This window comes from Homo sapiens, chromosome 16 (genome assembly GCF_000001405.40).
Source record: "Homo sapiens chromosome 16, GRCh38.p14 Primary Assembly".
Classification (NCBI taxonomy): Eukaryota; Metazoa; Chordata; class Mammalia; order Primates; family Hominidae; genus Homo; species Homo sapiens.
This window is the reverse complement of record NC_000016.10, coordinates 30,675,194-30,702,235: the sequence shown is the minus strand read 5'-3', so window position 1 is coordinate 30,702,235 and position 27,042 is coordinate 30,675,194. Positions and strand designations below refer to the sequence as shown.

Sequence of the window (27,042 nt, the reverse complement as noted above, 5' to 3'; positions counted from 1 at the left end):
ACACCTGTCATTCCAGCACTTTTGAGAGGCTGAGTAAGGCGGGGATCACGAGGTCAAAGATGAAGACCATCCTGGCAAACATGGTGAAACCCCATCTCTACTAAAAACACAAAAATTAGCCAGGCGTGGTGGCGCGCACCTGTAGTCCCAGCTACTCAGGAGGCTGAGGCAGAAGAATTGTTTGAACCCGGGAGGCGGAGGTTGCAGTGAGCCAAGATCACACCACTGCATTTCAGCCTGGTGACAGAGCGAGACTCCATCTTAAAAATAAAAAAAAAAAAAAGAAAGAAAGAAATGGAAAATAGGCCAGGCCTGGGGGCTCACACCTGTAATCCTAATACTTTGGGAGGCCAAGGTGGGTGGATCACCTGAGGTCAGGAGTTCAAGACCAGCCTGGCCAACATGATGGTGAAACCCCATCTCTACAAAAATATAAAAACTAGCCAGGCATGATGGTGGGTGCCTATAATCCCAGCTACTCGCAAGGCTGAGGCAGGAGAACTGTTTGAAATCAGGAGGCGGAGGTTGCAGTGAGCCGAGATCGCGCCATTGCATTCCAGCCTGGCTGAAAGACACTCCATTTCAAAAAAAAAAAAAAAGAAAAGAAAAAAATGGAAAACAAAGTCCTACTGAAAGGTGGATACTCAGGGAATTCACAAATTCACTCCAGGACATAAGCCTTACACTGCGCCACTCAAATTCCTACCTCGGCTAAATGACAAGACTGTATGTCACAAATTTCCCCAGTTTCTCAGGAAAACTATAAATACCAACTTTACAAACATGAAAAGCTTACTGTACTGCTCACTTTGGCAACACATATACTAAAACTGGGAGGATACAGAAAAGATTAGCATGGCCCCTGTGCAAGGATGACACAATAAAGAAACCCTTTTTATAGAAAAATTTAAAAAATTAAAATAGAAAGCTGACTGTACACACACCTAGATGTGTTTAAAAGTCATGCTTTTTTTCCTACCCCACACCCTTCCTTGGTATGAGAAAGGAATGAACACTACACACCATCCATAGGCTTATCCTACTCCAGTACTGATAGAAGTTAAACTATTCTTAAAGCGTATGGTATTAGAAGCATGGTGCCACGACCTCCATTTCCAGCCTAGCCTAATTCAACCTTTTTCAGGTAACGAGGCGCTTTTACACTCTTGGAGATAATATTACACTAATGTTAAATGGAATGTGAGTATCCAACAGACCTGATATACTACAGCCCAGCCCCCGAGCACCAAAGATTCTCCAAAACTCTCCACAAATATTCCCCTGCCACATTTCTTCTGCCTCACACTCAACAATCCACAAAGCAGAAGCAGAGAAGGAACTCTTCCCACTTTCAAACCTGTGTCTGTAGGACTGGGAGCTGAGGGTGAGCAGGGGAGGGGCTGCTCTGCATGGTCCCACTCCCAGGCTCCCCCTTGGATGCCTGAAGAATGACTGGGTTGTTATCACCAGTACTGCTGGCCGAGGGGCTGGCGTCCGGCTGCAGGGCATGCTGGGAGCTGGCCTCATTCTGGGCCACCGGCCACCGGGACCCGCCTTCCAGGGCCCGGGGCCCACCAGGGCGTCCCAGCCTCCGCTCAGGTCCACCAGCCTCTGGAGCACCTAAAGTAGGGTTAAAAAAAAAAAAAAAGACAGAAATGCAGTTAAAGGGGATGAAAAAGTATTTTTAAAAAACCAGAAATAACACTGAATAAAGAGAAACACAGAAATTACAGGTTACATTTCTTGAGCACTTACTATGTATAAGATACTTTTAGTACCTGTTTGATGTGTTCTATAATCCTCACACCTACCTTAAAAACCAAGTGCTTTTCACAGCATAACAAATATTGACTTCCTCCTACACACAACGGATATAGCCATGCAGAAAGGATTCCCGACCTAAATGTAGCTTACATTCTAATATAATCTGTTTTGTAAGTTACGAAGTTAAGACCTTATGATTTGCGGAAGGTTACACAGTAAAAAAGTGATAGGAGGGCTTCAATCCACAGTCTGATGCCAAAACCAAGGAAAACCTGCTACTCTTCCTGGTAGAGCCAGGTTGACCACGTTTTCCTCAACCCACAGCCTCAGTTCTGTTGTTGTACTATAATCAAACCCTCTACAGAAAAATCACATGCAAACATTCCCATGCTTCTCTAGAGTGAAAATCCCCAATACGGACCTATAATTGCTTTATCTCAAACATTTCTCCCATTAGCATCAGCACACAAAATGGTAGCAGATCCCTCACCTGTGTGAGCTGAGACCACACCCCCTGTGAAAGTCTGCACTTCCACGGTGCCGCCGTACTGAAGGGAATCACACCTGAAACATCCATCAAAGCGTATTATTTACTCCAGTTTTTTGAGACGTTTAAATATACCCAAATCAGTTAAAAGACTAGAAACAGAAAAACTACAGTAGTAGGAAAATCTCACATTTCAGGGAAATGCAAATCATGTTTTGTGAATTCCGGAGGGACATACGATCCTGCCTGGGGGCAGGAGCAGGAAAGGAGTGAAGAAAGAAAGTTCAAAAATTTTAAGTGTAAAGGCTCCAACCACAGAATGGAAGACAAAAAAAAAATACAGCAAAAAAAAGCTGTCACATCCAGAACCTCAGAAAGGTGCTACCTGCCTGCGGGCCTTTCCAGTGAGGGCTGAACGCAGAAGTGAGAGTGGAACTCCCGGGAAGAGTCAACAAACAGGCTGGTCACAGGAAAATCCGCCCAGGATTCAGGGCAGGGCGCTGTATATCCCATACCTGCGCCTTGAGACACTTCCCCAAATACAAGAACCACAGCAAAAGGAGACTCAGGAGCAGTCAAAAGCGAGAGGCCGCACTGCCAAGAACCACGCGCCGGAAACAGGCAGTGTGAACCCGCAGGAGGCCCGGAAATGCTTCCCCAGTGTTTAAGGAAATTCCTAAACCACAGTGCCGGCTTTGATTCACTCCCTACTCCGCCACACGTTCCCAAGACCCGAGCTCACCAGAAGCCAACAAGCCTTAACTCTTGACTTCAGGTTTCGTGACCATCTCCCTAGCCCTCCCGACGGACTGACCTCGCGTGACCCCTGACCTCTGCCCAAGTTGCCACTAGCCCTGAGATAGCCCCGCCCCCTCCAGACTCCCACCCCACCCAACGTGCGCGCCGGGCGGGGGAGGGGCCCGCGCGTGCGCGGCTGGAGGCGGAGCGAGCCGGCTGCGCGCACGGCCCAGGGGCTCCCGCCAGAACCCGAGCCCACGCACACAAGGGTCGCGGGGCTGGGAAGCTCGTCATCCAAGCCCGTCAGGGAGCCCCCCCATCACCCGACCGCGAAAGGCTGAGAGAAGGGAGGGTTCGTGCCACCAGGTCCTGGTCCCCCGGCTAGATGTGGTGGGCGCGCGCCCCGACTACTCGTCCCACGCCCCCCTTCCTCTTCCCGCGCGCCCCTGAGGGGTGACTGGGTTGGTGGGCGGGCAGGAGCGCACCTGGGTCCGTCCTCTCAGGGCTCGCTCGCTCGCTCGCTCGCTCAGGCACGCGTGCGCAGAAGGGCGGGAAGGGAGAGGAGACACGCCGGGGCCCAGCGCCGGCCGGCCTGACCCCCTCAGTCTGTCTCTATGGGCGCGCGCCGACAGCCTCGCGCACCGGCCCCGGGGCCCCGGCTGAGGGTGCGCGCGCAGCACCCCGGGAAGGTGGGGGGGAGGCGGTGGCGGAAAGATGCGCGCGCAGTCAGCCGTCATGGGAGGGGGAACTGTGGGGCGTTCGCCATCTTGTCTCCCTCTCCTTACCTGCGTCCTCGGGGGCGTGCGCACCACCCCCCCTCCCGCCTAGGAGGGGGGAGGGCCCCCTCTTGGCCACCGCCTTCGCGGCCTTTAAACTCCCCTGGAGACTGCGGCTACTGCCACCGCCTTGCCTCCACTGCCTCTTCGCGCAGCACACAGATGCGGACGGTGGGTGGGAAAAAGGGCAGACGCTACTCCCAGCGAACCGCCGCTGCCGCTCCCGAGGCCTCACCAAAATGGCCGCCGCCGTCTCGGCCGCCACCACCACCACTACCACCACCACTCGCTCGGAATCGCTATCGCCGGCGCGGCCCGTCTTCTCGCGAGAGACAGTAACTGGAGGGTGGGGGAACGGGGAGGCTCGCGTGCTAGCGTAGGGTGCAGCACGGTGCGCAAGGCAGCCTGGGAGGTGTAGTCTCCCAGAGGCTGCGCGCTCGCCCTTCCTCGGAGCGCCTTTACCGTTTGCCCCTAGATCTACCTGGGGCTGCATTGCGGCTGCCAGCTCGGACCACCGCCACCTCCCTTTTTATTTACAGATCACCCAGTAAGCTGCAGCAAGTTAGCAGTGGAACCTGGGCCTCCCGATTCCCATGGCAGCCCACTTCTGTAGCGCTGCTTCGTTTTACGCGAGGATGGTTTCCTGATAGCTTTCAAACACCTTTGCCATCTCTTCGCAAACTTTCTAGATTAAGAATCCCTTTGAGAATCTGATACCTTTACCCCAGAATAGAACAATAAATAACAGCTACCTTCTACTGACACTACTTGGTGCCTTGATTATTTCTTTTAATCCTAACTGCTCCATTTTACAAACGAATTGAGGCTCAGGCGTTAAAACACAGTGACAGATCCTGAAGTCAAGATTCCTAGCCAAGCAGTCTAAGCCACAAGAATGCACTCGCTGTCATAAAATTTTACCACCTAAAGCCCCCGCTAAGAGGCCAGGTTAGGAAGCCCTGATGAAGCTCCCCTTCCTCCATTCAGTTTAGCTCTTCCCTGCGAAGAGGATTGTTGGTCCCATTTTACAGATGAAGTTTGGGTTGAAAGAAAAGTGGATGATGCCCATCTTTTCTAGACCCTCCTCCCATCACCCCCAGAAGAGGGGATCCCAGGCCAGAGCCTGAATTGGACCTAGCCTTGTGCCATTAACTCCTTGCTATGTGACCTTGAGCAATTAACTTCACCTTTCTGAGCTTCAGTTTCCTCTGTAAAGTGAGGATAGAATTGCTGATGTAAAATTGCTTTGAAAGATCTAAAGGGCCAGGTGCGGTGGCTCACACCTGTAACCCCAGCACTTTGGGAGGCCAAGGCAGGAGGATCACTTGAGGCCAGGAGCTCAAGACCAGCCTGGGTAACATAGTGAGACGTCGTCTCTACAGTAAATTAAAAATTTTAAAATTATGAAAAAATAAAAAAGCTCTAAAGGACTACCTAAATGTGGAGTATATTTCACTATAGTTCAGTGTTTCACACCCATGATCTTAAGGTCAAGGTTAGCTTTCTGATGTGCTTTACATAGTATTTATTTATGTATTCATTTGTTGAGATAGTCTTGCTCTGTCACCCAGGCCGGAGTGCAATGGCACAATCTTGGCTCCCTGCAGCCTCTGTCTCCCGGGCTCAAGCAATTCTCATGGCTCACCCTCCCAAGTAGCTGGGATTACAGGTGTGCACCACCACACTCAGCTAATTTTTGTATTTTTGGTAGAGACAGGGTTTCACCATGTTGCCCAGGCTGCTCTCAAACTCCTGACCTCAGGTGATCCACCTACCTTAGCCTCCCAAAGTGCTGTGACTACAGGTGTGAGCCACCGCCCCCAGCTGCTTTATATAGTTTGTTTTTTGTTTTTCGTTTTTTGTTTTTAGAGACAGAGTCTCGCTCTTTACCCCAAGCTGGAGTGCAGTGTCACGATCTCTGCTCACTGCAACCTCTGCCTCCCGGGTTCAAGCAATTCTTATGCCTCAGCCTCCCAAGTAGCTGGGATTACAGGCACTGGCCACCATGCCCAACTAATTTTTGTATTTTTAATAGAGCCGGGGTTTCTTTTTTTTTTTTTTTTTTTTTTTTGAGACGGAGTCTTGCTCTGTCCCCCAGGCTGGAGTTCAGTGGCTCAATCTCGGCTCACTGCAAGCTCCGCCTCCCAGTTTCATGCCATTCTCCTGCCTCAGCCTCCCGAGTAGCTGGGACTACATGCGCCTGCCACCACGCCTGGCTAATTTTTTGTATTTTTAGTAGAGACGGGGTTTCACCGTGTTAGCCAGGATGGTCTCGATCTCCTGACCTCGTGATCCGCCCACCTGGGCCTCCCAAAGTACTGGGATTACAGGCGTGAGCTACCACGCCTGGCCTAGAGACGGGGTTTCACCATGTTGGCCAGGCTGGTCTCGAACTCCTGGACTCAGGTGATCTGCCTGCCTCAGCCTCCCAAAGTGCTGGTACTACAGGCTTGAGTCACCACGCCCAGCTGCTTTACACAGTGTTTTCATGTTCTGGGTATTATTAAAACTTCAGGAAGCCAGGCACGGTGGCTCACGCCTGTAATCCCAACACTTTGGGATGCCGAGGCAGGTGGATCACCTGAGGTCGGGAGTTCGAGACCAGCCTGACCAACGTGGAGAAACCCCGTCTCTACTAAAAATACAAAATTAGCCAGGTGTGGTGGCGCATGTCTGTAATCCCAGCTATTCGGGAGGCTGAAGTAGGAGAATTGCTTGAACTTGGGAGGCAGAGATTGCGGTGAGCCAAGATCACGCCATTGCACTCCAGCCTGGGCAACAAGAGCAAAACTCCATCTCAAAAAAAAAAAAGAAAAGAAAAATTACTTCAGGCAAGAGAATGACGTCTCCGATGTGCCGTAGGCCCCACCATTCCCAATTGTTTTGCACGGGGCAACTTAACACATTTGTCATATCTGGCACCTAAAGGCAGTTAAACTTGTGACCTCTTGTTTATACACAAGCGTGTCAACGAGCATGTTCTCCTAACCAGCATTTCCTCTGCCTGTTTCCTATCTGGCCCTGTGCTGTGTGCAGTGGGAGAGAGGAGGGAAGATGGCACAGTCCCTGCTCTTAAGAACTTAGTCTCATTGCAGGATGAGCTGTGAGCTTGGTAAAAGGCATGGCAGTGTTGCGGTGTCTCAAAAGAAGGGTGGTCAAGGAACTCTCCAAGGGTCAGGTTGGATACCCAGTGGGGTATCAGGGAAGGCTTCCTAGGGAAGTATCATTTGAGCCTGGCCTTGAAAAATTTAGGCATGAAGGCAGGCACTCCAGGAAGATGACACAGCCTCCACAAGGCTGATGGTTGCCGGAGGAGGGCGGGGAATGGGGGACAGTGAATCAGCTTGTGCCCCAGTCTGGAGTGCAGTGGTGCGATCATAGCTCACTGCAGCCTCAACCTCCTGGGCTCAGGTGATCCTCCCACCTCAGCCTTCCAAGTAGCTGAGACTACAGGTGCACACCACCAGGCCTGGCTATTTTTTATTTTTTTGTAGTGAAAGTGGGAGGTCTCGCTATGTTGCCCAGGTTGGTCTTGAACTCTTGGCCTCAAGCAACCCTCCTGTCTCAGCCTCCCAAAGTGCTGGGACTACAGGCGTGAGCTACCACACCCGGCCCCAGCTTGTCTTCTTTATGAGGGAGCGGGTTGAGACACTGTTGGAGAGATCACCTAGCTCCAAGCGGCTAAGGGCCCAGCATGCTAGGCTAGGTATGGGGCATTCGTTTGGAAGTGACAGGGAGCTATTGAAAGTTGTTAAGCAAAAGATTGGCATGATCCAGGCCGGGCACGGTGGCTCACACCTGTAATCCCAGCACTTTGGGAGGTCAAGGCGGGCGGATCACGAGGTCAAGAGATTGAGACCATCCTGGCCAACATGGTGAAACCCCATCATCTCTACTAAAAATACAAAAATTAGCCGGGTGTGGTGGCAGGCACTTGTACTCCCAGCTACTCCAGAGGCTGAGGCAGAAGAATCGCTTGAACCCGAGAGGCGGAGGTTGCAGTGAGCCAAGATTGCGCCACCGCCACTGCACTCTAGCCTGGGCGACAGAGCAAGACTCTGTCTCAAAAAATATATATATATTAGCCAGGCGTGGTGGCCCCCGCCTGTAGTCCCAGCTACTCGGGAGGCTGAGGCAGGAGAATCGCTTGAACCCGGGAGGCAGAGGTTGCAGTGAGCTGAGATCGTGCCACTGCACTCCAGCCTGGCGACAGAGCCAGACTCCATCTCAAAAAAAAAAAAAAAAAGATTGGCATGACCCATGTTCCACTTTATGAAGGGTGATGTATGTAACAAGATGCGTGATATGTCTGTAAGGCTAAAGACAGGGAGGATACCAGCAGTCACCTGTGTGTAATGGGAGCTGTTGGCCAGGAGGTGGCAGTGGAGATGGGGGTAGAGACTAAAGGAAAAATTAGCAGAACTTGGCCGTTGATTGCTAGTGATGATGATCCTCTAAACATGGTTCCTTCTGTGATTCCAGTCTTTCCCAGGCTCCTCCCACCTCCCTGGCCACTCCCTTTCCTTCTCCCTCTCCCCACAGGACACTTCTGGCCCCCTCCATCAATTGGTGGGGCTGCTAAGGATTCTTGCCTCAACTGCCTCCTCTCATCCAAGTCTTCAAGGGCTGAGGCAGATATTGTAAAACTAATGAAGCTTCAGCTTCCAGGACTCCTCCCTTTAATGGACCTTCCATTGCTATTAGTGGCTGGGGGTTACAGAACCATCAAGGTGAGGTGGAGAAGCCAGGTTGTAACTGGAAAGCACTCCCATATAAGCATTTCTGGTGATTTGCCTAAAGACATCTCAGGGGAAAAAAAAGGGGCATTAATCTCTAAGGCCCCAGTAATTTCTCATGATTTCCATGTTTATTCCAACTACCATCTCTTAAGGACTATCCCCAGCTCAGAATCCTCTAACTCCTGGAATCCTCATGCAGGAGGCTCCCTAGGAACCTTGGACTCCTCCATCCAAAGTGAACTCACAGCCAGGCTGGTGGCTCACACCTGTAATCCCAGCACTTTGGAAGGCCAAGGCAGGCAGATCGCCTGAGGTCAAGAGTTCGAGACCAGCCGTGGCCAACATGGTGAAGCCCTGTCTCTACTAAAAATACCAAAATTAGCTGGGTGTGGTGGCTCACGCCTGTAATCCCAGCTATTCGGGAGGCTAAGGCAGGAGAATCGCTTGAACCAGGAAGCAGAGGTTGCAATGAGCAGAGATCATGCCACTGCACTCCAGCCTGGGCAAAACAAGGCTGGGTGCGGTGGCTCATGTCTGTAATCCCAGCACTTTGGGAGGCAGAGGCAGGTGGAGCACGAGGTCAAGAAATCGAGACCATCCTGGCCAACATGGTGAAACTCCGTCTCTACTAAAAATACAAAAATTAGCCAGGTGTGGTGGCAGGCATCTGTAGTCCCAGCTACTCGGGAGGATGAGGCAGGAGAATTGCTTGAACCCAGGAGGCGGAGGTTGCAGTGAGCAGAGATCACGCCATTGCACTCCAGCCTGGTAACAGAGCGAGACTCCATTTCAAAAAAAAAAAAAAAAAAAAAAGTGAACTCACCATCTGAACCACAAAACTTGCTCCTCCTCCCTCTGCTCTGAGGAGATGGCACCATCCACTCAATTGCTCAAGCTAGAAATGTAGGCATCACTTTCCCTTTTCCTCATGCCCCACATCCAGACGCCAAGTCTTGTGCGTTACATTTTAAACACTTCTCCATTCTATCTGTTTCTCTTCACTCCTATGGGAGATACTTAAGCCCTTGATGATTTATAACCCCAAGAACTGGCTGGTTAGAAACTTTAGCGCCACCACCATGGTTTCCAATAGCTTCCCCGTCCCATTCTTTGATATGGACAGTTGATGTTTCTCAGTCTTATGTAAAGTGCTATGCAAATGAAGTTTCCAGGTGAACTGAGTCCTGCCTCCTGCTCTCTTCCATCCCAACAGCTGCTCCTAACCCCCCTGGCAAGTCAAAAATCTGGATCCGAAGCAGGCTGTACCACCCTCCTAATTGATCTTTGTGTGGCCAGTCTCTCCTGCCCCACCAAAACCCAGTTCCCGTGTGGTATCCATTGCAGTGGGGGAATCGGAACCAGCAATTGAGAGCGTGACATAATGTTAGGGAATGGCGAGGGCAATTACATTATAAAGCAGGTAGAGAGGGGCAGGGGAGGGGCCCTTTTAAACCAGGGGGACTCTGGTGAAGTGAAAGTTGGATGGAGACCTGAAGAAGATGTCTCCACACAGCAGCCAGGGGAAACTTGTCTCACTGCAGATCGGACAGAGTCACTCTCCTTCAGGTCCTTTCATGGCTCCTGTGAAAACCCTTTCCGAGGCCCCTGGGCCCTGCGTGATAAGCCCTTGGCAGATTATCTAGCCTCATCTCTCCCAGTGCCCTGCACTCCAGCCACTGCTGTCTCTCTGCAGGTTCTTTTCTCTGTTCTGAGCTTTCTCACACTTGCTTCTCTCTTTCCTTCCATGCAGTTACAACCTACACATCCTTAGTCCTAGGACAAAGTCACTGCTTCCAGAAGCCTTTCCTGCCCTCAGACTACGCTATATCTCCTGTAACAGTCTGCTTTTTTTGCTTATCTGCACTCTACGAATAATTCCTTGGGTTTACCTCTGTCTCGTTCACTTTAATGCATGCCCATCTATGTCCACTGTCTGGGGGAGTGCCACGCACATCATAAATATCCACACCTTGGGCTTGGTTGATGCCTGCTTGTTGCATGACGGCAATAGCTCATATGTGCTAATTTTTTTTTTTTAAGGCGGAGTCTCGCTCCCTTGCCCAGGCTGGAGTGCAGTGGTGCAATCTCGGCTCACTACAACCTCCACCTCCCAGGTTTAAGCAATTCCCCTGCCTCAGCCTCCAGGGTAGCTGGGATTACAGGCACACACCACCATGTCCGGCCAATATTTTTGTTTGTTTGTTTGTTTGTATTTTTAGTAGACACAGGGTTTCGCCATCTTAGTCAGGCTGGTCTCAAACTCCCGCTCAGGTGATCCACCCGCCTCGGCCTCCCAAAGTGCTGGTATTACAGGCGTGAGCCACTGCACCTGGATACTATGTGTTAAATTCACTCAAGAAGTATAATAATGACAAGCACTAAGCACCAACCTGTGTATTTACATGAATTAACTCACTTAATTCTCACAATTATGTTACATAGATTGTCGGCCAGGCGTGGTGGCTCACGCCTGTAATTCCAGCACTTTGGGAGGCCGAGATGGGTGGATCACCTGAGGTCGGGAGGTCGAGACCAGCCTGACCAACATGGAGAAACCCCGTCTCTATTGATAATACAAAATTAGCTGGGCGTTGTGGCACATGCCTGTAATCCCAGCTACTCAGGAGGCTGAGGCAAGAGAATTGCTTGAACCTGGGAGGCAGATGTTGTGGTGAGCCGACATCGCACCATTGCACTCCAGCCTGGGCAACGAGAGTGAAACTCTGCTTCAAAAAAAAAAAAAATAGATTACCATCCTTCTTTTATAGATGGTGAAAAGGATGGTTAAGTAACGTCGCAAGTTACGGAGCTGAAAAAGAACAACACAGGGACTGCTGTCAACCCAGAGGGACTTGACTCATTTTTGTGCTTTTTTTTTTTTTCCCCAAGAGATGGTCTCACTCTTTGCCGAGACTGGAGCTGGAGGGCAGTGGTGGGCATCATAGCTCACTTTAGCTTCAAATTCATGGGCTCAAGTGATCCTCCTGCCTCAGCCTCCTGAGTAGCTAAGACCATAGGTGCCAGCCACCATGGCTGGCTGACTTTTCTTAAGAGATGAGGTCTTGCCATGCGCAGTGGCTCATGCCTATAATCCCAGCACTTTGGGAGACGGAGGCAGATGGAATCACCTGAGGTCAGGAGTTGGAGACCAGCCTGGCCAACAAGGTGAAACCCCGCCTCTACTAAAAATACAAAAAAATGGCCGACTTGGTGGTTCGTGCCTGTAATCCCAGCTTCTTGGGAGTCTGAGGCAGGAGAATCACTTGAACCCAGGAGGCAGAGGTTGCAGTGAGCCAAGATTGCGCCATTGCACTCCAGCCTGGGTGACAAGCAAAACTCCATCTCAAAAAAAATAAATAAATAAAAATAAAAAAAAGAGAGAGATGAGGTCCTGCTTTGTTGCCCAGGCTGGCCTTCAACTCCTGGTTTCAAGCAATCCTCCTGCCTCAGCCTCTCGAAGTGCAGGGATTACAGGCATGAGCCACTGTGCCCAGCTACATTTGTGCTCTTAACTGCTGTGCAGTACACCTTGTCAAATCCAGGTCTAGCATCTGAGTCCATCTACCATGTGCCAGGCATTATTCTAGGCACTGGGGAGATAATGTTGGAAACACAAACAAGTAAAACACTCAAGGTTTCAGTTTTTATCAAGCTTACATTCCTGGTGGGAGAAGACAAATAACAAACATATAAATAAGTGTGAATATAAAATAATGATGGTTGGCTGGGCATGGTGGCTTACGCCTGTAATCCCAGTACTTGGGGAGGCTGAGGCAGGCAGATCACAAGGTCAGGAGTTCGAGATCAGCCTGGCCAATATGATGAAATCCCGTCTCTACTAAAAATACAAAAATTAGCCAGGCGTGGTGGCAGGCACTTGTACTCCCAGCTACTCGGGAGGCTGAGGCAGAAGAATCACTTGAACCCGGGAGGCGGAGGTTGCAGTGAGCCAAGATCGTGCCACCGTCACTGCACTATAGCCTGGGCGACAGAGCGAGACTCTGTCTCAAAAAAAAAAAAAAAAAAAAATTAGCCAGGCGTGGTGGCCCCTGCCTGTAGTCCCAGCTACTGGGGAGGCTGAGGCAGGAGAATTACTTGAACCTGGGGGGTAGAGGTTGCAGTGAGCCCAGACTGTGCCACTGCACTCCAGCCTGGGCGACACAGCGAGACTCTATCTCAATAAATGAATAAAATAAAATATAATAATGGCTGATACGTGTTATGAAAAAATGAAGTGGGGTGGATGAGCTCGGGTGAGGGGCAGAAGAGGCATTATTTTAGACAAGATTGTCTGGGAGGGCCTCTCTAGTGTGGTGACATTTGAACAGAGACGCTCTGGGGGAAGAGCATCCTAAGCAGAGGTAAATAAGTACAAAGGGGCCGGGCGCGGTGGCTCACGCCTATAATCTCAGCACTTTGGAAGGCTGAAGCAGGTGTATCACCTGAGATCAGGAGTTCGAGACCAGCCTGGCCAACATGGTGAAAACCCATCTCTACTACAAAAATTTGCTGGGCCTGGTGGCGAGCACCTGTACTCCCAGCTACTTGGGAGGCTGAGGTAGGAGAATCGCTTGAACCCAGGAAGTGGAGGTTGCAGTGAGCCAAGATCATTCCATTGTACTCCAGCCTGGGTGACAAGAGCAAAACTCTGTCTCATAAAATAATAATAATAATAAGTACAAAGTCCCTGAGGCTAGACCCAGCTTATCCTGCCAGGAACCCACCAGGAGACTGCAGGGGAAGGGGAACAGTGGGAGATGCGGTCTTAGAAGAGGATCAGGCCTGCATCTGGCAGGGCTTTGAAGACCAAGCTAAGGAGCTTAGATGGAATGTGAAGTGTAGCAGGAGGGCTTTGAGCAGAGGCCAGATACAACGTGCTGACAACGGACTGTTGGGATAAGAGTCTAAGTGACTGCTGTAGTCTAGGTAAAAGGTGATGGAGATTGAAATCTTTAAGCAGAAAGGGAATGTGGTGGTAAGGTTGACAGATTTAGCAAATAACTCTTCTGGGGAACCTCTGCGAGGAAACTCTGGAAGGCAGTTGTGGGTGGCTGAGGTCCCAGGAGGCTAGGAGAGGGTGCTAGAATACCTCTCCTCTCCACAAGGACTGAAAACTTCTCAGAACACAGCCAAGCACAGAGCCTTCGTGGGTTGAACCCAGCACATCTTAAGCAAACACACGAATCCAAAACATCCCAACCTTATGAGAAGGAAACTGTAATTATGACACCCAGTTCTAGGAAGGGTATGGGCAGCTAGGTGCACACACTGCTGTCGGAGGGACTGTAAGCATGCCCAAACTTTTTTATTTGAATTAAAAAATTATTCGGCCGGGCACGGTGGCTCATGCCTAATCCCAGCACTTTGGGAGGCCGAGGCGGGTGGATCATGAGGTCAGGAGTTCAAGACCAGCCTGGCCAAGATAGCGAAACCCCGTCTCTATTAAAAACACAAAAAAATTAGTGGGTAATCTTGGCAGGCGCCTGTAATCCCAGGTACTTGGGAGGCTGAGGCAGAGAATTGCTTGAACCCGGGAGGCAGAGGTTGCAGTGAGCCGAGATCACGTCACTGCACTCCAGTCTGGGCAACAGAGCGAGAGTCCATCTCAAAAAAAATTAAAAAAAATTCTTGAACCCAGGAAGCTGAGTTTTCAGTGAGCCGAGATTACGCCACTACACTCCATCCTTGGGCAACAGTGAGACTCCACCTCAAAACAAACAAACACAAAACAACAACAACAAAAGGAGAATATTGGCTGAGGTCACATGACATACAATAAATAAGAAAAGCCTTGATCCATTAAGTGACTCACAAAAGAGTGACCATTAAGTACTGCATTCTAAAAAAAAAAAAAAAAAAAAAAGGTGTGTAGAATAAGTACCTTCTGTTTTGTGGTCTTGTTAGAAAAAAAAAAGGAAACAAAACAAAAAAATAGCAGAATGTGTTTGTTAATTCCTGGAGAGTGGTACACAGGTGTTTTTTTGGTGTGTTTTTGTTGTTGTTGTTTGAGACAGAGTGTTACTCGTTGCCAGGCTGGAGTGTAGTGGCGCGATCTCAGCTCACTGCAACCTCTGTCTCCTGGGTTCAAGCGATTCTCCTGCCTCAGCCTCCTGAGTAGCTGGGATTACAGGCGCAGGCCACAGGTGTTTGTTATACTTATTTTTTAAACTTAAAAACAACTGGCCGGGAGCAGTGGCTCACGCCTGTAATCTCAACACTTTGGGAGGCTGAGGAAAGAGGATTGCTTGAGTCCAGGAGTTCCAGACCAGCAGGTGAAACATAGTCAGACCCTGTCTTTACAAAACAACAACTACTGAAAATGTTTTTAAGGTAGAGGTAAAACAAATGTTTGCTTTATCGTTACTATTTATTTATTTTTGAGACAGAATCTCCCTCTGTCCCCCAGGCTGGAGTGCAGTGGGCCTGACCTCGGCTCACTGCAACCTCCTCCTCCTGGGTTCAAACGATTCTCCTGCCTCAGCTTCCTGAGTAGCTGGGATTACAGGCATGAGCCACCATGCCCAGCTAAGTTTTCTGTATTTTTAGTAGAGACAGTTTCACCATGTTGTCCTCAGGTGATCCGCCTGCCTCGGAGGCCTCCCAAAGTGCTGGCATTACAGGCGTGAGCTACAGCACCCGGCTTATAGTTACTTTGGATTTTTTTGGGTTTTTTTTGTTTTTTTTTTTGTTTTTTTTTGAGAAGGAGTTTCACTATTGTTGCCAGGCTGGAGTGCAATGGCAAGATCTCGGCTCACTGCAATATCCGCCTCCTGGGTTCAAGCAATTCTCCTGCCTCACCCTTTCGAGTAGCTGGGATTACATGCACCCACCACAATGAATGCCCGGCTAATTTTTTGTATTTTTAGTAGGGACGGGGTTTCACCATGTTGGCCAGGCTGGTCTCGAACTCCCGACCTCAGGTGATCCACCCGCCTTGGCCTCCCAAAATGCTAGGATTACAGGTGTGGGCCACTGCGCCCGGCCATCTAGTTACTTTTTTTAAGAATGCATGTGTTTTATACACTCTGCTGGTGTGTTATATTTTTCAATTTTTTCCATTGGGTGGGTGCGTGTATGTGTGTGTGACGGAGTTTTGCTCTTATCGCCCAGGCTGGAGTGCAGTGGCATGATCTTGGCTCACTGCAACCGCCGCATCCTGGGTTCAAGTGATTCTACTGCCTCAGCCTCCGGAGTAGCTGGGATTACAGGCGTGGGCCACCACGCCCAGCTAATTTTTATATTTTTAGTAGAGACGGGGTTTTGCTATTTTGCCCAGGCTGGTCTCGAACTCCTGATCTCAGGTCATCTGCCTGCCTGGGCCTCCCAAAGTGCTGGGATTATAGGCGTGAGCCATTGTGCCCAGCCGGGGAATGTATTTTTAATTAAAAGCTTTTTTTTTTTTTAACAGGATTATAGGTAGAAAGGGAAGAAAAGACAAAAAAAGAACTTAAAAAGTAAACTTTCCAGGCACGGTGGCTCACACCTGTAATCCCAGCACTTTGGGAGGCCTGAGACAGGTAGATCACCTGAGGTCAGAAGTTCGAGACCAGCCTGACCAACATGGAGTAACCCTGTCTCTACTAAAAATACAAAATTGGCCAGGGATGGTGGCGCATGCCTGTAATCCCAGCTACTCAGGAGGCTGAGGCAGGAGAATCGCTTGAACCCGGGAGGTGGAGGTTGCAGTGAGCTGAGATGGTGCCACTGCACTCTAACCTGGGCGACAGAGCGAGACTCTGTCTCAAACAAAAACAAAAAGAAAAAACTGCAGTAGTTAGGGATTGTTTGATTCAATTGTGCTGTAACCGTAAATGGCGTATGTGCAAGCTTTAGAAAGAAAGGACGATGAGCCAGGCACAGTGGCTCACGCCTGTAATCCCAGCACTTTGGGAGGCTGAGGCGGGCAGATCACCTGAGGTCAGGAGTTCGAGACCATCCTGGCCAACATAGTGAAACTCCGTTGTGTACTAAAAATACCAAAAAATTAGCCAGGCATGATGGTGCGCTCCTGTATGCCTAGCTACTCTGGAGGCTGAGGTGGGAGAATCACTTGAACCTGGGAGGTGGAGGTTGCAGTGAGGCGGGATCGCGCCACTGCATTCCTGCCTGGGCGACAACGCAAGACTCCGTCTCAAAGTAAATAAATAAGTAAATAAAATTTAAAAAGTAATAATAAAAGAGTATAATGGTGTATGTAATCCTCTAGAGCTGTTTCTTTCTTTCTTTTTGAGACGGAGTCTCGCTCTGTTGCCCAGGCTGGAGTGCAGTGGCGCAATCTCGGCTCACTGCAAGCTCCGCCTCCTGGGTTCACGCCATTCTCCTGCCTCAGCCTCCCGAGTAGCTGGGACTACAGGCACCCGCCACCACGCCCGGATAATTTTTTGTATTTTTAGTAGAGGCGGGGTTTCACTGTGTTAGCCAGGATGGTCTCAATCTCCTGATCTCATGATCCGCCCACCTCGGCCTCCCAAAATGCTGGGATTACAGGCGTGAGCCACCGCGCCTGGCAAGCTGTTTCTTTTTTACACTCGATATTGTATTGACAAAAATCATTCATACTTTTATGTGTGGCTGTGGTTCATTGAAATTTCACTTTTTTTTTTTTTTTTTTTTTTGAGATGGAGTGTTGCTCTGTCGCCCAGGCTATAGTGCAGTGGCGCGATCTCCGCTCACTGCAAGCTCTGCCTCCTGGGCTCACGTCATTCTCCTGCCTCAGCCTCCCGAGTAGCTGGGACTACAGGCGCCCACCACCACGCCCGGAGAACTTTTTGTATTTTTAGTGAAGACGGGGTTTCACCATGTTAGCCAGGATGGTCTCGATCTCCTGACCTCGTGATCCACCCGCCTCGGCCTCCCAAAGTGCTGGGATTACAGGCGTGAGCCACCGCGCCCAGCCGAAATTTCACTCTTTTATAATATTTTATTTTGTCAAGGTACCCCAATGTATTTATCTGTTCTCCTGTTGAAGGGCATTTTGGTTTCTTTATGAGTGTTTCTATCATATGTTGACTGCAGTTATGAATATTCATGTACATGTCTCCTGGAACACTTGAGCAAGACTTACTCCTGGATATTTGCCCAAAAATGGAACTGCTGGGTTTTAAGGTATGTAAATGTTCAATTTGACAAGATAATGATAATTTTTGGCTGGGCGCGGTGGCTCAGGCCCGTAATCCCAGCATTTGGGAGGCCGAGGTAGGTGGATCACTTGAGGCCAAGAGTTCAAGACTAGCCTGGGCAACATGGTGAAATCCCATCTCCACCAGAAAATACAAAAGTTAGCCGGGTGTGGTGGCATGCACCTTTAGTCCCCAGCTACTTGGGAGGCTGAGGCAGAGGCTGCAGTGAGCCGAAATCGTACCATTGTACTCCAGCTTGGGCAACAGAGCAAGACTCTGTCTCAAAAAAAAAAAAAAGATAATCTTCTTCAAAATGGCTGTACAGATACAGATTCCCTCCAGCAATGTATAGAAGATCTGTTGTTCAATACTTGGTGTTATCTGACTTCTTAATTTTTGCCATATACTGGGTATAAAATAGTATCTCATTATGATCTCAATCTATATTTCCTTGATCACTAATGATGGTGAGCATCTCTTCATAAGCTTTTTAGCCATGTTTCGTTCTTGTTGAAATGCATGTTCAAGTCTTGTGTCCATTTTTCTACTAGCTTATTGTCATTTATTGATTTTTTCAAGACAGGGTTTCGCTCTGTTGCCCAGGCTAGAGTACAGTGGCATGACATAGTTCACTGAAGCCTCGAACTCCTGTGCTAAAGTGATCCTCCCTCCTCAGCCTCCTGAGTAGCTGAGACTACAGTTGCACACCACCATACCCGACTAATTTTTTTTTCAGTAGAGACAGTCTTACTATGTTGCACAGGCTGGCTTTACTGATTTTTTCTTTTTCTTTTTCTTTTTTTTTTTTTTTTTTGAGACGGAGTCTTGCTCAGTTGCCCAGGCTGGAGTACAGTGGCGCGATCTTGGCTCACTCCAAGCTCCTCCTCCTGGGTTCACACCATTCTCCTGCCTCAGCCTCCCGAGTAGCTGAGACTACAGGTGCCCGCCACCATGCCTGGCTAATTTTTTTTGTATTTTTAGTAGAGACGGGGTTTCACCATGTTAGCCAGTATGGTCTCGATCTCCTGACCTCGTGATCCACCCACCTTGGCCTCCCAAAGTGCTGGGATTACAGGCTTGAGCCACCATGCCTGGCTGGCTTTACTGATTTTTACAAGGCCTTTAGGTTATCTCAGTATATATTTTTGAATGGCTATATGTGTTTACACATATCTTCTTCAAGTTTGTAGCTTATAATTTCATTCATTTTAGTATAGTTTCATTCATTACTATTTTCTTTTATAGTTAACCTTTTGTGTTGTTTGAGTTTTCATTACTCCCAACTTCAGAAAGAAATTCCCTTACTTTTCTCCTTAAAGTTTTAGTTTTGCTTTTGATAATTAAGTCCTTATATATTGAGTTGACTTTTGAATATAGTGTGGGTCACTGATTTTTTCACTGATTTTTTTTTTTTTTTTGGAGACAGAGTCTTGCTCTGTTGCCCAGGCTAGAGTGCAGTGGCATGATCTCGGCTCACTGAAACCTCTGCCTCCCAGGTTCAAGCAATTCTTCTGCCTCAGCCTCCCAAGTAGCTGGGATTACAGGCGCCCACCACTGTGCCTTGCTAATTTTTGTATTTTTAGTAGAGACAGTGTTTCACCATCTTGGCCAGGCTGGTCTCGAACTCCTGACCTCGTGATCCAACTGCCTCGGCCTCCCAAAGTGCTGGGATTATAGGCACGAGCCACTGCGCCCGGCAGGTCACTGATTTAATTTCATCTTCTCCCATATGGATGACCTTTCTTTCCATATGGGAGAAACAGAATCTTGCTCTGTCACCCAGGCTGGAGTGCAGTGGCATGATCTCTGCTCACTGCAGCATCCGCCCCCGGATTCAAGCAATTCTCCTGCCTCAGCCTCCCGAGTATCTGGGATTATAGGCATGTGCCACCACGCTGGGATAATTTTTGCATTTTTAGTAGAGATGGGGTTTCACCATGTTGGCCAGGCTGGTCTCAAACTCCTGACCTAAGGTGATCTGCCCGCCTCGGTCTCCCAAAGTGTTGGGATTACAGGCATGAGCCACCGCGCCCAGCCCATCTCCATTTATTGATGAGCACCTCCTTTGATCTGGCATACCACCCTGTCATTATTAAAGTTTCATATATTCATGAGTTAATTTTGGTGACTTCCTACCCCTAGCAACACTACCTCATCTTTTTTGCCACAGCTCTATAACAATTCTGGTGGAGCAAATCTCCTCTCCCTTTTTCTTCAGGAGTATCTTTCTGTTCTGAGCCCTTCCTATACTTTTTTTTTTTTTTTTTTTGAGATGGAGTCTCGCTCTGTTGCCCAGGCTGGGGTGCAGTGGCGCGATTTCGGCTCACTGCAACCTCCGCCTCCTGGGTTCAAGCGATTCTCCCGCTTCAGCCTCCCGAGTAGCTGGGACTACAGGCACCCGCCACCATGCCCAGCTAATTTTTTGTATTTTTAGTAGAGATGGGGTTTCACCGCGTTAGCCAGGATGGTCTCGATCTCCTGATCTCATGATCTGCCCGCCTCAGCCTCCCAAAGTGCTAGGATTACAGGCATGAGCCACCGCACCCGGCCTCCTATACGTATTTTTGTTGTTGTTTTTGTTTTCGAGACAGAGTCTCACTCTGTCCCCCAGGCTGGAGTGCAGTGGCGCGATCTCAGCTCACTGAAAGCTCTGCCTCCCGGGTTCCCACCATTCTCCTGCCTCAGCCTCCTGAGTAGCTGGGACTACAGGCGCCCGCCACCACGCCCGGCTAATTTTTTGTATTTTTAGTAGAGACGGGGTTTCACTGTGTTAGCCAGGATGGTGTTGATGTCCTGACCTCGTGATCCACCCACCTCGGCCTCCCAAAGTGCTGGGATTACAGGCGTGAGCCACCACGCCCGTCCCTATGCATATTTTTTAATTGGCTTGGCAAGTTTCATGAAAATTCCTGTTGTGATTTTTGTTAGCATTGCATTGCCTTGTATGGAACAAATTGAAGAAAATTTACATATTTACAATATTGAGTCTTTCTATCCATGAATACAAGATAATATCGATATTTACTAATTAATAATAAATATTGAAGATTATTTCAGATCTACACATTGGGATCAACCTCATAGGATTTATTTAATCAATCTCCTACTTTGAACACTTGAGTTGTTTCCGTTCTCTACCTCTAGAAACAATATTTTATTTTATTTTTTCATTTTATTTTACATATATATTTTGAGCCGGAGTCTCGCTCTGTCGCCTAGACAGAGCGTAGGTTGAGGTATGGGGGAAGGAGCCTGTTCAGCTATCCAGAAGCTCACTGAACCTTGTCCTTTTGTGTCTTTTCTCTTTTTTTTTTTTTCTCTCCTGAGATGAAGTCTCACTGAAACCTTGTCCTTTTGGATCTTGTCTCTTCTTCTTCTTCTCCTTCTCCTTCTCCTCCTCCTCCTCCTCCTCCTCCTTCTCCTTCTTCTTCTTCTTTCTTCTTCTTCTTTTTTTTCTCCTGAGGCGAAGTCTCGTTCTGTGGCTGAGGCTGGAGTGCAGTGGCATGATCTCAGCTCACTGCAACCTCCACCTACTGGGTTCAAATGATTTTTGTGCCTCAGCCTCCCCAGTAGCTGGGACTACAGGCACGCACCACCACACCAGGCTAATTTTTGTATTTTTAGTAGAGATGAGGTTTCGCCATGTTGGCCAGGCTGGTCTTGAACTCCTGACCTCAGGTGATCCTCCCACCTCAGCCACCCTAAGTGCTGGGATTACAGGTGTGAGCCACAGCCCCTGGCCTTCTTTTTATCTTTCTGTTCTTTTTTTGAGGCAGGATCTCCCTCTGTCACCCAGGCTGGAGTGCAGTGGCATGATCATGGTTCACTGGAGCGTTGACCTCTTGGGACAAGCGATCCTCCCACCTCAGCCTCCTGAGCAGCTGGAACTAAAGGCGTGCGCCACCACACCTGCCTACTTTTTTGTAGAGATGGGGTCTCCCTATGTTGCCCAGGCTGGTCTGGAACTCCGGGGCTCAAACAGTCCTCCCACCTAGGCCTCCCAGTGTGCTGGGATTACAGGTGTGAGCCATGAATTTCTTGAGTTTTTATGGAAGCTTCATGGCATCAGCATTCCTGCCCTCAGGGTGTAGGGTGGGACCCTTTTCTGGGAGAGTTTTAAAACCCATAATCAGAAAGGCAGGAGTAGATTAGAGTCTTGCCTTGGGGCAGGTGAAGGTGAAAGGAGGGCAGGAGAGAGACTCTGTTTCCTGAGGCCTAACACACCCCACATTATAACAAAAGATTAATAAGGGATACAGGAGTCAGGAGCCAGGAACCATGGGAGAAAACCAGTACATATCATAACAGCCCATACCCTTGTAGTGAATATCTTCACGCATAAGGAAACACCGTAAGGTTTTTGTTTTTGTTTTTGTTTTTCTGTAAGTATCTCTCCAGGTGAGGTGCGGTAGCTCATGCCTGTAATCCCAGCATTTTGAGAGGCCGAGGTGCGTGGATCACTTGAGGTCAGAGTTCCAGACCACCCTGGCCAACATAGTTAAACCTCATATCTACTAAAAATAAAAAATTAGCTGGGCGTTGTGGCCCACACGTGTAATCCCAGTTACTCCGGAGGCTGAGACAGGAGAATTGCTTGAACCCGGGAAGCGGAGGCTGAGGTAAGCTGCAATCACGCCACTGCACTCCAGCCTGGGTGACAGAGCAAGACAGCGTCTCAAAAAATAAAAATTAAAAAATAAAAAATAAATAAATAAATATCTCTCCATGGCCAGGGTCGGTGGCTCACACCTGTAATCCCAGCACTTTGTGGGGCCAAGGCGGGCGAATTGGTTGAACCCGGGAAGTGGAGGCTGCAGTGAGCCCAGATCGCACCACTGCACTCCAGCCTGGGCAACAGAGCGAGACTCTGTCTCAAAAATAAAATTAATTGGCGAGGCACGGTGGCTCCCGCCTGTAATCCCAGCACTTTGGGAGGCCGAGGCGGGTGGATCACGAGGTCAGGAGATCAAGACCATCCTGGCTAACACGGTGAAACCCCATCTCTACTAAAAATAAAATTAAAAAAAAATTAGCCGGGTGTGGTGTCAGGCACCTGTAGTCCCAGCTACTTGGGAGGCTGAGGCAGGAGAATGGCGTGAACCCGGGAGGTGTAGGTTGCAGTGAGCCGAGATCACACCACTGCACTCCAGCCTGGGTGACAGCAAGACTTTGAGTTAAATAAATAAATAAATAAATAAATAAAAGTATCTCTCCACCAGGCATAGAGGCTGACTCCTGTAATCCCATCACTTTGGGAGTCCAAGGTGGGAGAATTGCTTGAGGCCAGGAGTTCAAGACTAGCCTGGGCAACATAGTGAGACCCTGTCTCTATTTAAAAAATATTTATACATATATATTTAGGTATCTCTCCATTGCTTGCTTAACTAGCCTGTTCTGCACCTAGCACAGTGGCTCTAGGCATCCTCAGTCTTTTTTTAATTTATTTTTTATTTTTTGAGATGGAGTCTTGCTCTATTGCCCAGGCTGGAGTACAGTGGCGAGATCTTGGCTCACTGCAACCTCCTCCTCCTGGGTTCAAGCAATTCTCCTGCCTCAGCCTCCATAGTAGCTGGGATTACAGGCGTGCACCTACTGCATAGCCATGCCTGGCTAATTTTTGTATTTTTAGTAGAGACTGGGTTTCACTGGGTTTCACCATGTTGGCCAGGCTGGTCTCAAACTCCTGATTTCAGATGATCTGCTCGCCTCAGCCTCAGAAAGTGATGGGATTACAGGCATGAGCCACCACGCCAGGCCAGCATCCTCAGTATTGATTCCACACATTATTCCTCCTTCCTGTCTTCCCCCAGGAAACTGAAAGTGGCTCTGTGATGTCAGAATTAAGGCTCAGAATCTAGGGGAGCCTCCTACACTTCTGAAGTAGGAGTGAGGTGGGGAGGGTTGGGGTAAAATGATTTCCTTAGATAAGAAAAATTGCTTCATTTCTAGTAAGTGTCAAGCTCTTCATACACATTTCACCGAAGACCCAACAGGTCAGCCTCATTACTTCCCTGTTTTCCTGCATTAACCTGAAACACAGTGACCTCAAGTAACAGGCCCCAGTTCACACAGCCCTTAGGGCCCTCGCCTGGATTCCAATCTGCAGGCTTTGGGAAATGTTTATTGACAAGTAGAGCTGGGTGTGAGTGTATCAATAAGCACTTGTTAACTGATTTCTCTCCTTTCAACATTCTAAACATTTCCATTGTATACTTCTAAGGGCTCATTGTTTTGTTGATTAAAAAAAAGTCAACACTCATTTGCATCACCGAGAGCCCCTCCTCCTCATTCCCAGTGGGGCTTGGCGAGCAGAAGCTGGTTTTAGGGGAAGAGTTAGGGACTAGAAGATCTCGCCTGATGTGGGTGCCTAACAGAGCTTGACACCTAGTTCTATAAATGTTAATGGTATTATTATTCAGAGCATTTACATAAGAATCACCCTGATAGCTACTGTTTTGTGGACCTCGACCGTGCTCCCAGCACTGTGGGAGGCCTTTTTCATTTGCAGCAGCTTTTACTCATCACCGCCCAGTGGAGTCCAAGGCTCTTTCCCTTTGTGATAGGTGTGGTTCACTCTCAGGCTCCGAGAGTTTAGGCAACTAGCCTGAACATCACAAAGCAAACAGTTAGCAAAGTGCGGGTTTAGGGGCCGGGTGTGGTGGCTTACGCCATTCATAAGTCTTACCCATCACTGCCCACCACCTTGGGGCCTAACAAAGTGCCCAGCATGGGCTGGGCGTGGTGGCTCACACCTGTAATCCCAGCACTTTGGGAGACCGAGGCGGACAGATCACCTGAGGTCAGGAGTTAAAGACCGGCCTGGCCAACATGGCGAAACCCTGTCTCTACTAAAAATACAAAAATTAGCTGGGCATGGTGGTGCACACCTGTAATCCCTGAGCCGAGATCATGCCACTACACTCCAGCCTGGATGACAGAGCAGGGAAATGAAGTGAGGCTGGAACTGTGCACGAATCTGTTAGGCAGATGAAAGAGCACTGTGAAGTCCTCAAGGTGGGCATGTGCTGGGTGAGCTGGAGGCCCCACCAGGAGGCCAGAGGGGTTGGAACAGAGTCAGTGAGAGGGCGAGGGCTGGGAAAGCGGGGCTGGGAGGTAGGCAGGAACCAGACTGTGTCGGGCTTTGCAGGCCTTTGTAAGGACTTGGCTTCTACTGTGAGTGAGATGCTAGGCATTGCAGAATTTGTTTATTTTGGCTGTTTCTTTTCTTTTCTTTCTTTCCTTTCCTTCCTTCCTTCCTTCCTTCCTTCCTTCCTTCCTTCCTTCCTTCCTTCCTTTCTTTCTTTCTTTCTTTCTTTCTTTTATATTGTTGTTTTTGTTGTTGAGACGGAGTCTCACTCTGTCGCCTAGACTGGAGTTCAGTGGCGCCATCTCGACTCACTGCAAGCTCCACCTCCTGGGTTCAAGCGATTCTTCTGCCTTAGCCTCCGGAGTAGCTGGGACTACAGGCGCCCGCCACCACACCCGGGTAATTTTTTTTTTTTTTTTTTTAGTAGAGACAGGGTTTCACCATATTGGCCAGGCTGGTCTCAAACTCCTGACCTTGTGATCTGCCCTCCTCAGCCTCCCAAAGTGTTGGGATTATAGGCGTAAGCCACCGCTTTTTTCCGTTTTTTGAGAGTTTTGAAAACTCTCAAAAGTCAGGTGAGGAATGACATCACCTGACTTAGGTTTTAAAAGGACCACACAACTGCAAGGTCTGTGAATTGAGATATTACAACTCCCATGTTACTGGGGCATTTCCTATCATTAGACTGTTCTAACTGGAATATTTAAGGGTCTAGCCTGCTTGAAGGAAATCCGATGTGCAAAAATCCAGATAGAACTAACTTTTCCTGAGGGACTGGCAGTCATTGCAAATTGCTCAGTGTAGCAGGGGTAATGTGGTGATCCCAAGCCTCTGGGCCCTGCTTTCTTTCCGTTGGAAGGACTCATCACCCCAAAGCCCATCAGCTGCATCTCCACAGGTGCCTTCTGCTCACACAGGCACACACAACCATACAAAATGGGTGTTTCTGAATGTCTCCATGATTAGATAATGGCAGTGGTTGTACAACCCATCAGCTGCACCTCCAAGAGTGCCTTCTTCTGACACATGCACACATGGCCATAAAAAAATGGGTGTTTCTGAATGGCTCCAGAATTAGATAATGGCAATGGTTGTACGACTTTGTGAATATACGAAAACCACTGCAATGGCACACTTTAAAAGGTACATTTCATGGTATGTGAATTTTATGTCAGCAATAATAATAAAATAATAAAAATACTTCCAGAAATCCTGTTTGTCATAACACAAATGCTAGAAACAACTTAAATGTCTATCCACAGAGATCTGTGTTGTTTTTGTTTTTGTTTTTGAGACGAAGTCTCACTCTGTCGCCCAGGCTAGAGTGCAGTGGTGCGATCTTGGCTCACTGCAACCTCCACCTCCCGTTTTCAAGCAACTCATGCATCAGCCTCCCAAGTAGCTGGGATTACAGTCGTGCACCACTGTGCCCAGCTAATTTTTATATTTTTGTAGAGTCGGGGTTTCGTCATGTTGACCAGACTCGTCTTAAATTCCTGATCTCAGGTGATCCGCCTGCCTCGGCCTCCCAAAGTGCTGGGATTACAGGCGTGAGCCACTGCACCTGGCCATGTGTTTGGTTTTGTTTTTACATAAAGACGGGTCTTGAACTCCTGAGCTCCAGTGATCCTCCTGCCTCAGTTACTGACGTGCTGGGATTAGAGGCAAGAGCCATTGTGCTCAGCTCCCATCTCTACTTTTAAATAACAAACATGTATATGTATAACTTTCCTCTTCCTCTCTCTCTCTCTCTCTCTCTTCTCTCTCTCTCTTTCTTTCTTTCTTGACAAGGTCTTGCTCTGTCTCCCAGGCTGGAGTGCAGTGGTGCCATCATTGCTCACTGTAGCCTCAACCTCCTGGGCTCAAGTGATCCTCTTGCCTCAGTCTCCCAAGTAGCTGGGACTACAGGCGTGCGGCCGACACATCCTAATTTTTGTATTTTTCATAGAGACGGGGTTTTACCATGTTGCTCAGGCTGGTCTCGAACTCCTGGGCTCAAGGGCCTGCCTCGGCCTGAGTGAGGAAGGGACTTCGGGGTTTTACCGTGTTGCCCAGGCTGGTCTCAAGCTCCTGCCTCAGGCAATCCGCCCACCTCGGCCTCCCAAAGTGCTAGGATTACAGGCGTGGGCCACCACACCCAGCCACATATACTAAAACATTATACAGAGGTCAGCATGGCCCCTTAGCAAGGATGACTTGCAAATTCGTGAAGCTTTCCATATTTTTGTGATTATTATACATTGCATGATTGTATCAAAATATCTTGTAACACATAAATATATACGCTTACTATGTACCCAGAAAAATTAAAAATGAATTTTTTTCTTTTTTG

General features: G+C 48.8%; 1 protein-coding gene, 1 long non-coding RNA gene and 2 pseudogenes across 3 annotated transcripts in view, besides 11 other annotated features; 3 read left to right on the top strand and 1 right to left on the bottom strand.

Moving 5' to 3' along the window:
* SRCAP (Snf2 related CREBBP activator protein) overlaps nt 1–3,065 on the bottom strand; it is a 42,239-nt gene extending 39,174 nt beyond the window's left edge. The window contains exons 1-3 of the mRNA NM_006662.3: nt 2,994–3,065; nt 2,255–2,328; nt 1,358–1,620 (exon numbers count right to left, since the gene is read on the bottom strand). Of these exons, the coding sequence (NP_006653.2) occupies nt 1,358–1,411 (54 nt within the window). The 5' untranslated portion in view covers nt 1,412–1,620; nt 2,255–2,328; nt 2,994–3,065. The remainder of the gene's footprint in view (nt 1–1,357; nt 1,621–2,254; nt 2,329–2,993) is intronic.
* On the top strand, nt 801–899 carry RNU6-1043P (RNA, U6 small nuclear 1043, pseudogene; annotated as a pseudogene).
* Nucleotides 2,994–3,288: an enhancer, noted in NCBI's record as "tiled region #39; HepG2 Activating DNase unmatched - State 1:Tss, and K562 Activating DNase unmatched - State 1:Tss". NCBI's record gives its function as "activates a minimal TATA promoter and a strong SV40 promoter by Sharpr-MPRA in HepG2 and K562 cells {active_cell/tissue: HepG2 | K562}" and the evidence as "EXISTENCE:reporter gene assay evidence [ECO:0000049][PMID:27701403]".
* Nucleotides 3,045–3,274: a silencer, noted in NCBI's record as "silent region_7390". NCBI's record gives its function as "represses an Ori minimal core promoter by ATAC-STARR-seq in GM12878 lymphoblastoid cells {active_cell/tissue: GM12878}" and the evidence as "EXISTENCE:reporter gene assay evidence [ECO:0000049][PMID:35858748]".
* On the top strand, nt 3,176–4,529 carry LOC730183 (uncharacterized). Of its 2 annotated transcripts, none has more exons than NR_144637.2 (2): nt 3,176–3,355; nt 4,305–4,529. It is a non-coding gene; the product is annotated as an uncharacterized LOC730183 (long non-coding RNA). The 2 variants fall into 2 exon arrangements; NR_171014.1 differs by lacking the exon at nt 3,176–3,355 and adding an exon at nt 3,765–4,100.
* Nucleotides 3,415–3,824: a silencer, noted in NCBI's record as "silent region_7389". NCBI's record gives its function as "represses an Ori minimal core promoter by ATAC-STARR-seq in GM12878 lymphoblastoid cells {active_cell/tissue: GM12878}" and the evidence as "EXISTENCE:reporter gene assay evidence [ECO:0000049][PMID:35858748]".
* Nucleotides 3,945–4,134: an enhancer, noted in NCBI's record as "active region_10720". NCBI's record gives its function as "activates an Ori minimal core promoter by ATAC-STARR-seq in GM12878 lymphoblastoid cells {active_cell/tissue: GM12878}" and the evidence as "EXISTENCE:reporter gene assay evidence [ECO:0000049][PMID:35858748]".
* Nucleotides 4,165–4,254: an enhancer, noted in NCBI's record as "active region_10719". NCBI's record gives its function as "activates an Ori minimal core promoter by ATAC-STARR-seq in GM12878 lymphoblastoid cells {active_cell/tissue: GM12878}" and the evidence as "EXISTENCE:reporter gene assay evidence [ECO:0000049][PMID:35858748]".
* Nucleotides 7,887–8,481: an enhancer, noted in NCBI's record as "NANOG-H3K4me1 hESC enhancer chr16:30705076-30705670 (GRCh37/hg19 assembly coordinates)". NCBI's record gives its function as "activates a minimal SCP1, AML or CMV promoter by ChIP-STARR-seq in primed H9 embryonic stem cells {active_cell/tissue: H9 hESC(primed)}" and the evidence as "EXISTENCE:reporter gene assay evidence [ECO:0000049][PMID:30033119]".
* Nucleotides 16,351–16,509: a silencer, noted in NCBI's record as "fragment chr16:30697048-30697206 (GRCh37/hg19 assembly coordinates)". NCBI's record gives its function as "represses an EF-1alpha promoter that drives an FKBP-Casp9 reporter gene in an ReSE screen in HepG2 liver carcinoma cells {active_cell/tissue: HepG2}" and the evidence as "EXISTENCE:reporter gene assay evidence [ECO:0000049][PMID:32094911]".
* Nucleotides 20,031–20,531: an enhancer, noted in NCBI's record as "H3K27ac hESC enhancer chr16:30693026-30693526 (GRCh37/hg19 assembly coordinates)". NCBI's record gives its function as "activates a minimal SCP1, AML or CMV promoter by ChIP-STARR-seq in primed H9 embryonic stem cells {active_cell/tissue: H9 hESC(primed)}" and the evidence as "EXISTENCE:reporter gene assay evidence [ECO:0000049][PMID:30033119]".
* Nucleotides 22,684–23,584: an enhancer, noted in NCBI's record as "NANOG-H3K27ac-H3K4me1 hESC enhancer chr16:30689973-30690873 (GRCh37/hg19 assembly coordinates)". NCBI's record gives its function as "activates a minimal SCP1, AML or CMV promoter by ChIP-STARR-seq in naive and primed H9 embryonic stem cells {active_cell/tissue: H9 hESC(naive and primed)}" and the evidence as "EXISTENCE:reporter gene assay evidence [ECO:0000049][PMID:30033119]".
* Nucleotides 23,585–24,484: an enhancer, noted in NCBI's record as "OCT4-NANOG-H3K27ac-H3K4me1 hESC enhancer chr16:30689073-30689972 (GRCh37/hg19 assembly coordinates)". NCBI's record gives its function as "activates a minimal SCP1, AML or CMV promoter by ChIP-STARR-seq in naive and primed H9 embryonic stem cells {active_cell/tissue: H9 hESC(naive and primed)}" and the evidence as "EXISTENCE:reporter gene assay evidence [ECO:0000049][PMID:30033119]".
* Nucleotides 24,485–25,385: an enhancer, noted in NCBI's record as "NANOG-H3K27ac-H3K4me1 hESC enhancer chr16:30688172-30689072 (GRCh37/hg19 assembly coordinates)". NCBI's record gives its function as "activates a minimal SCP1, AML or CMV promoter by ChIP-STARR-seq in naive H9 embryonic stem cells {active_cell/tissue: H9 hESC(naive)}" and the evidence as "EXISTENCE:reporter gene assay evidence [ECO:0000049][PMID:30033119]".
* Nucleotides 26,834–26,936, top strand: RNU6-416P (RNA, U6 small nuclear 416, pseudogene; annotated as a pseudogene).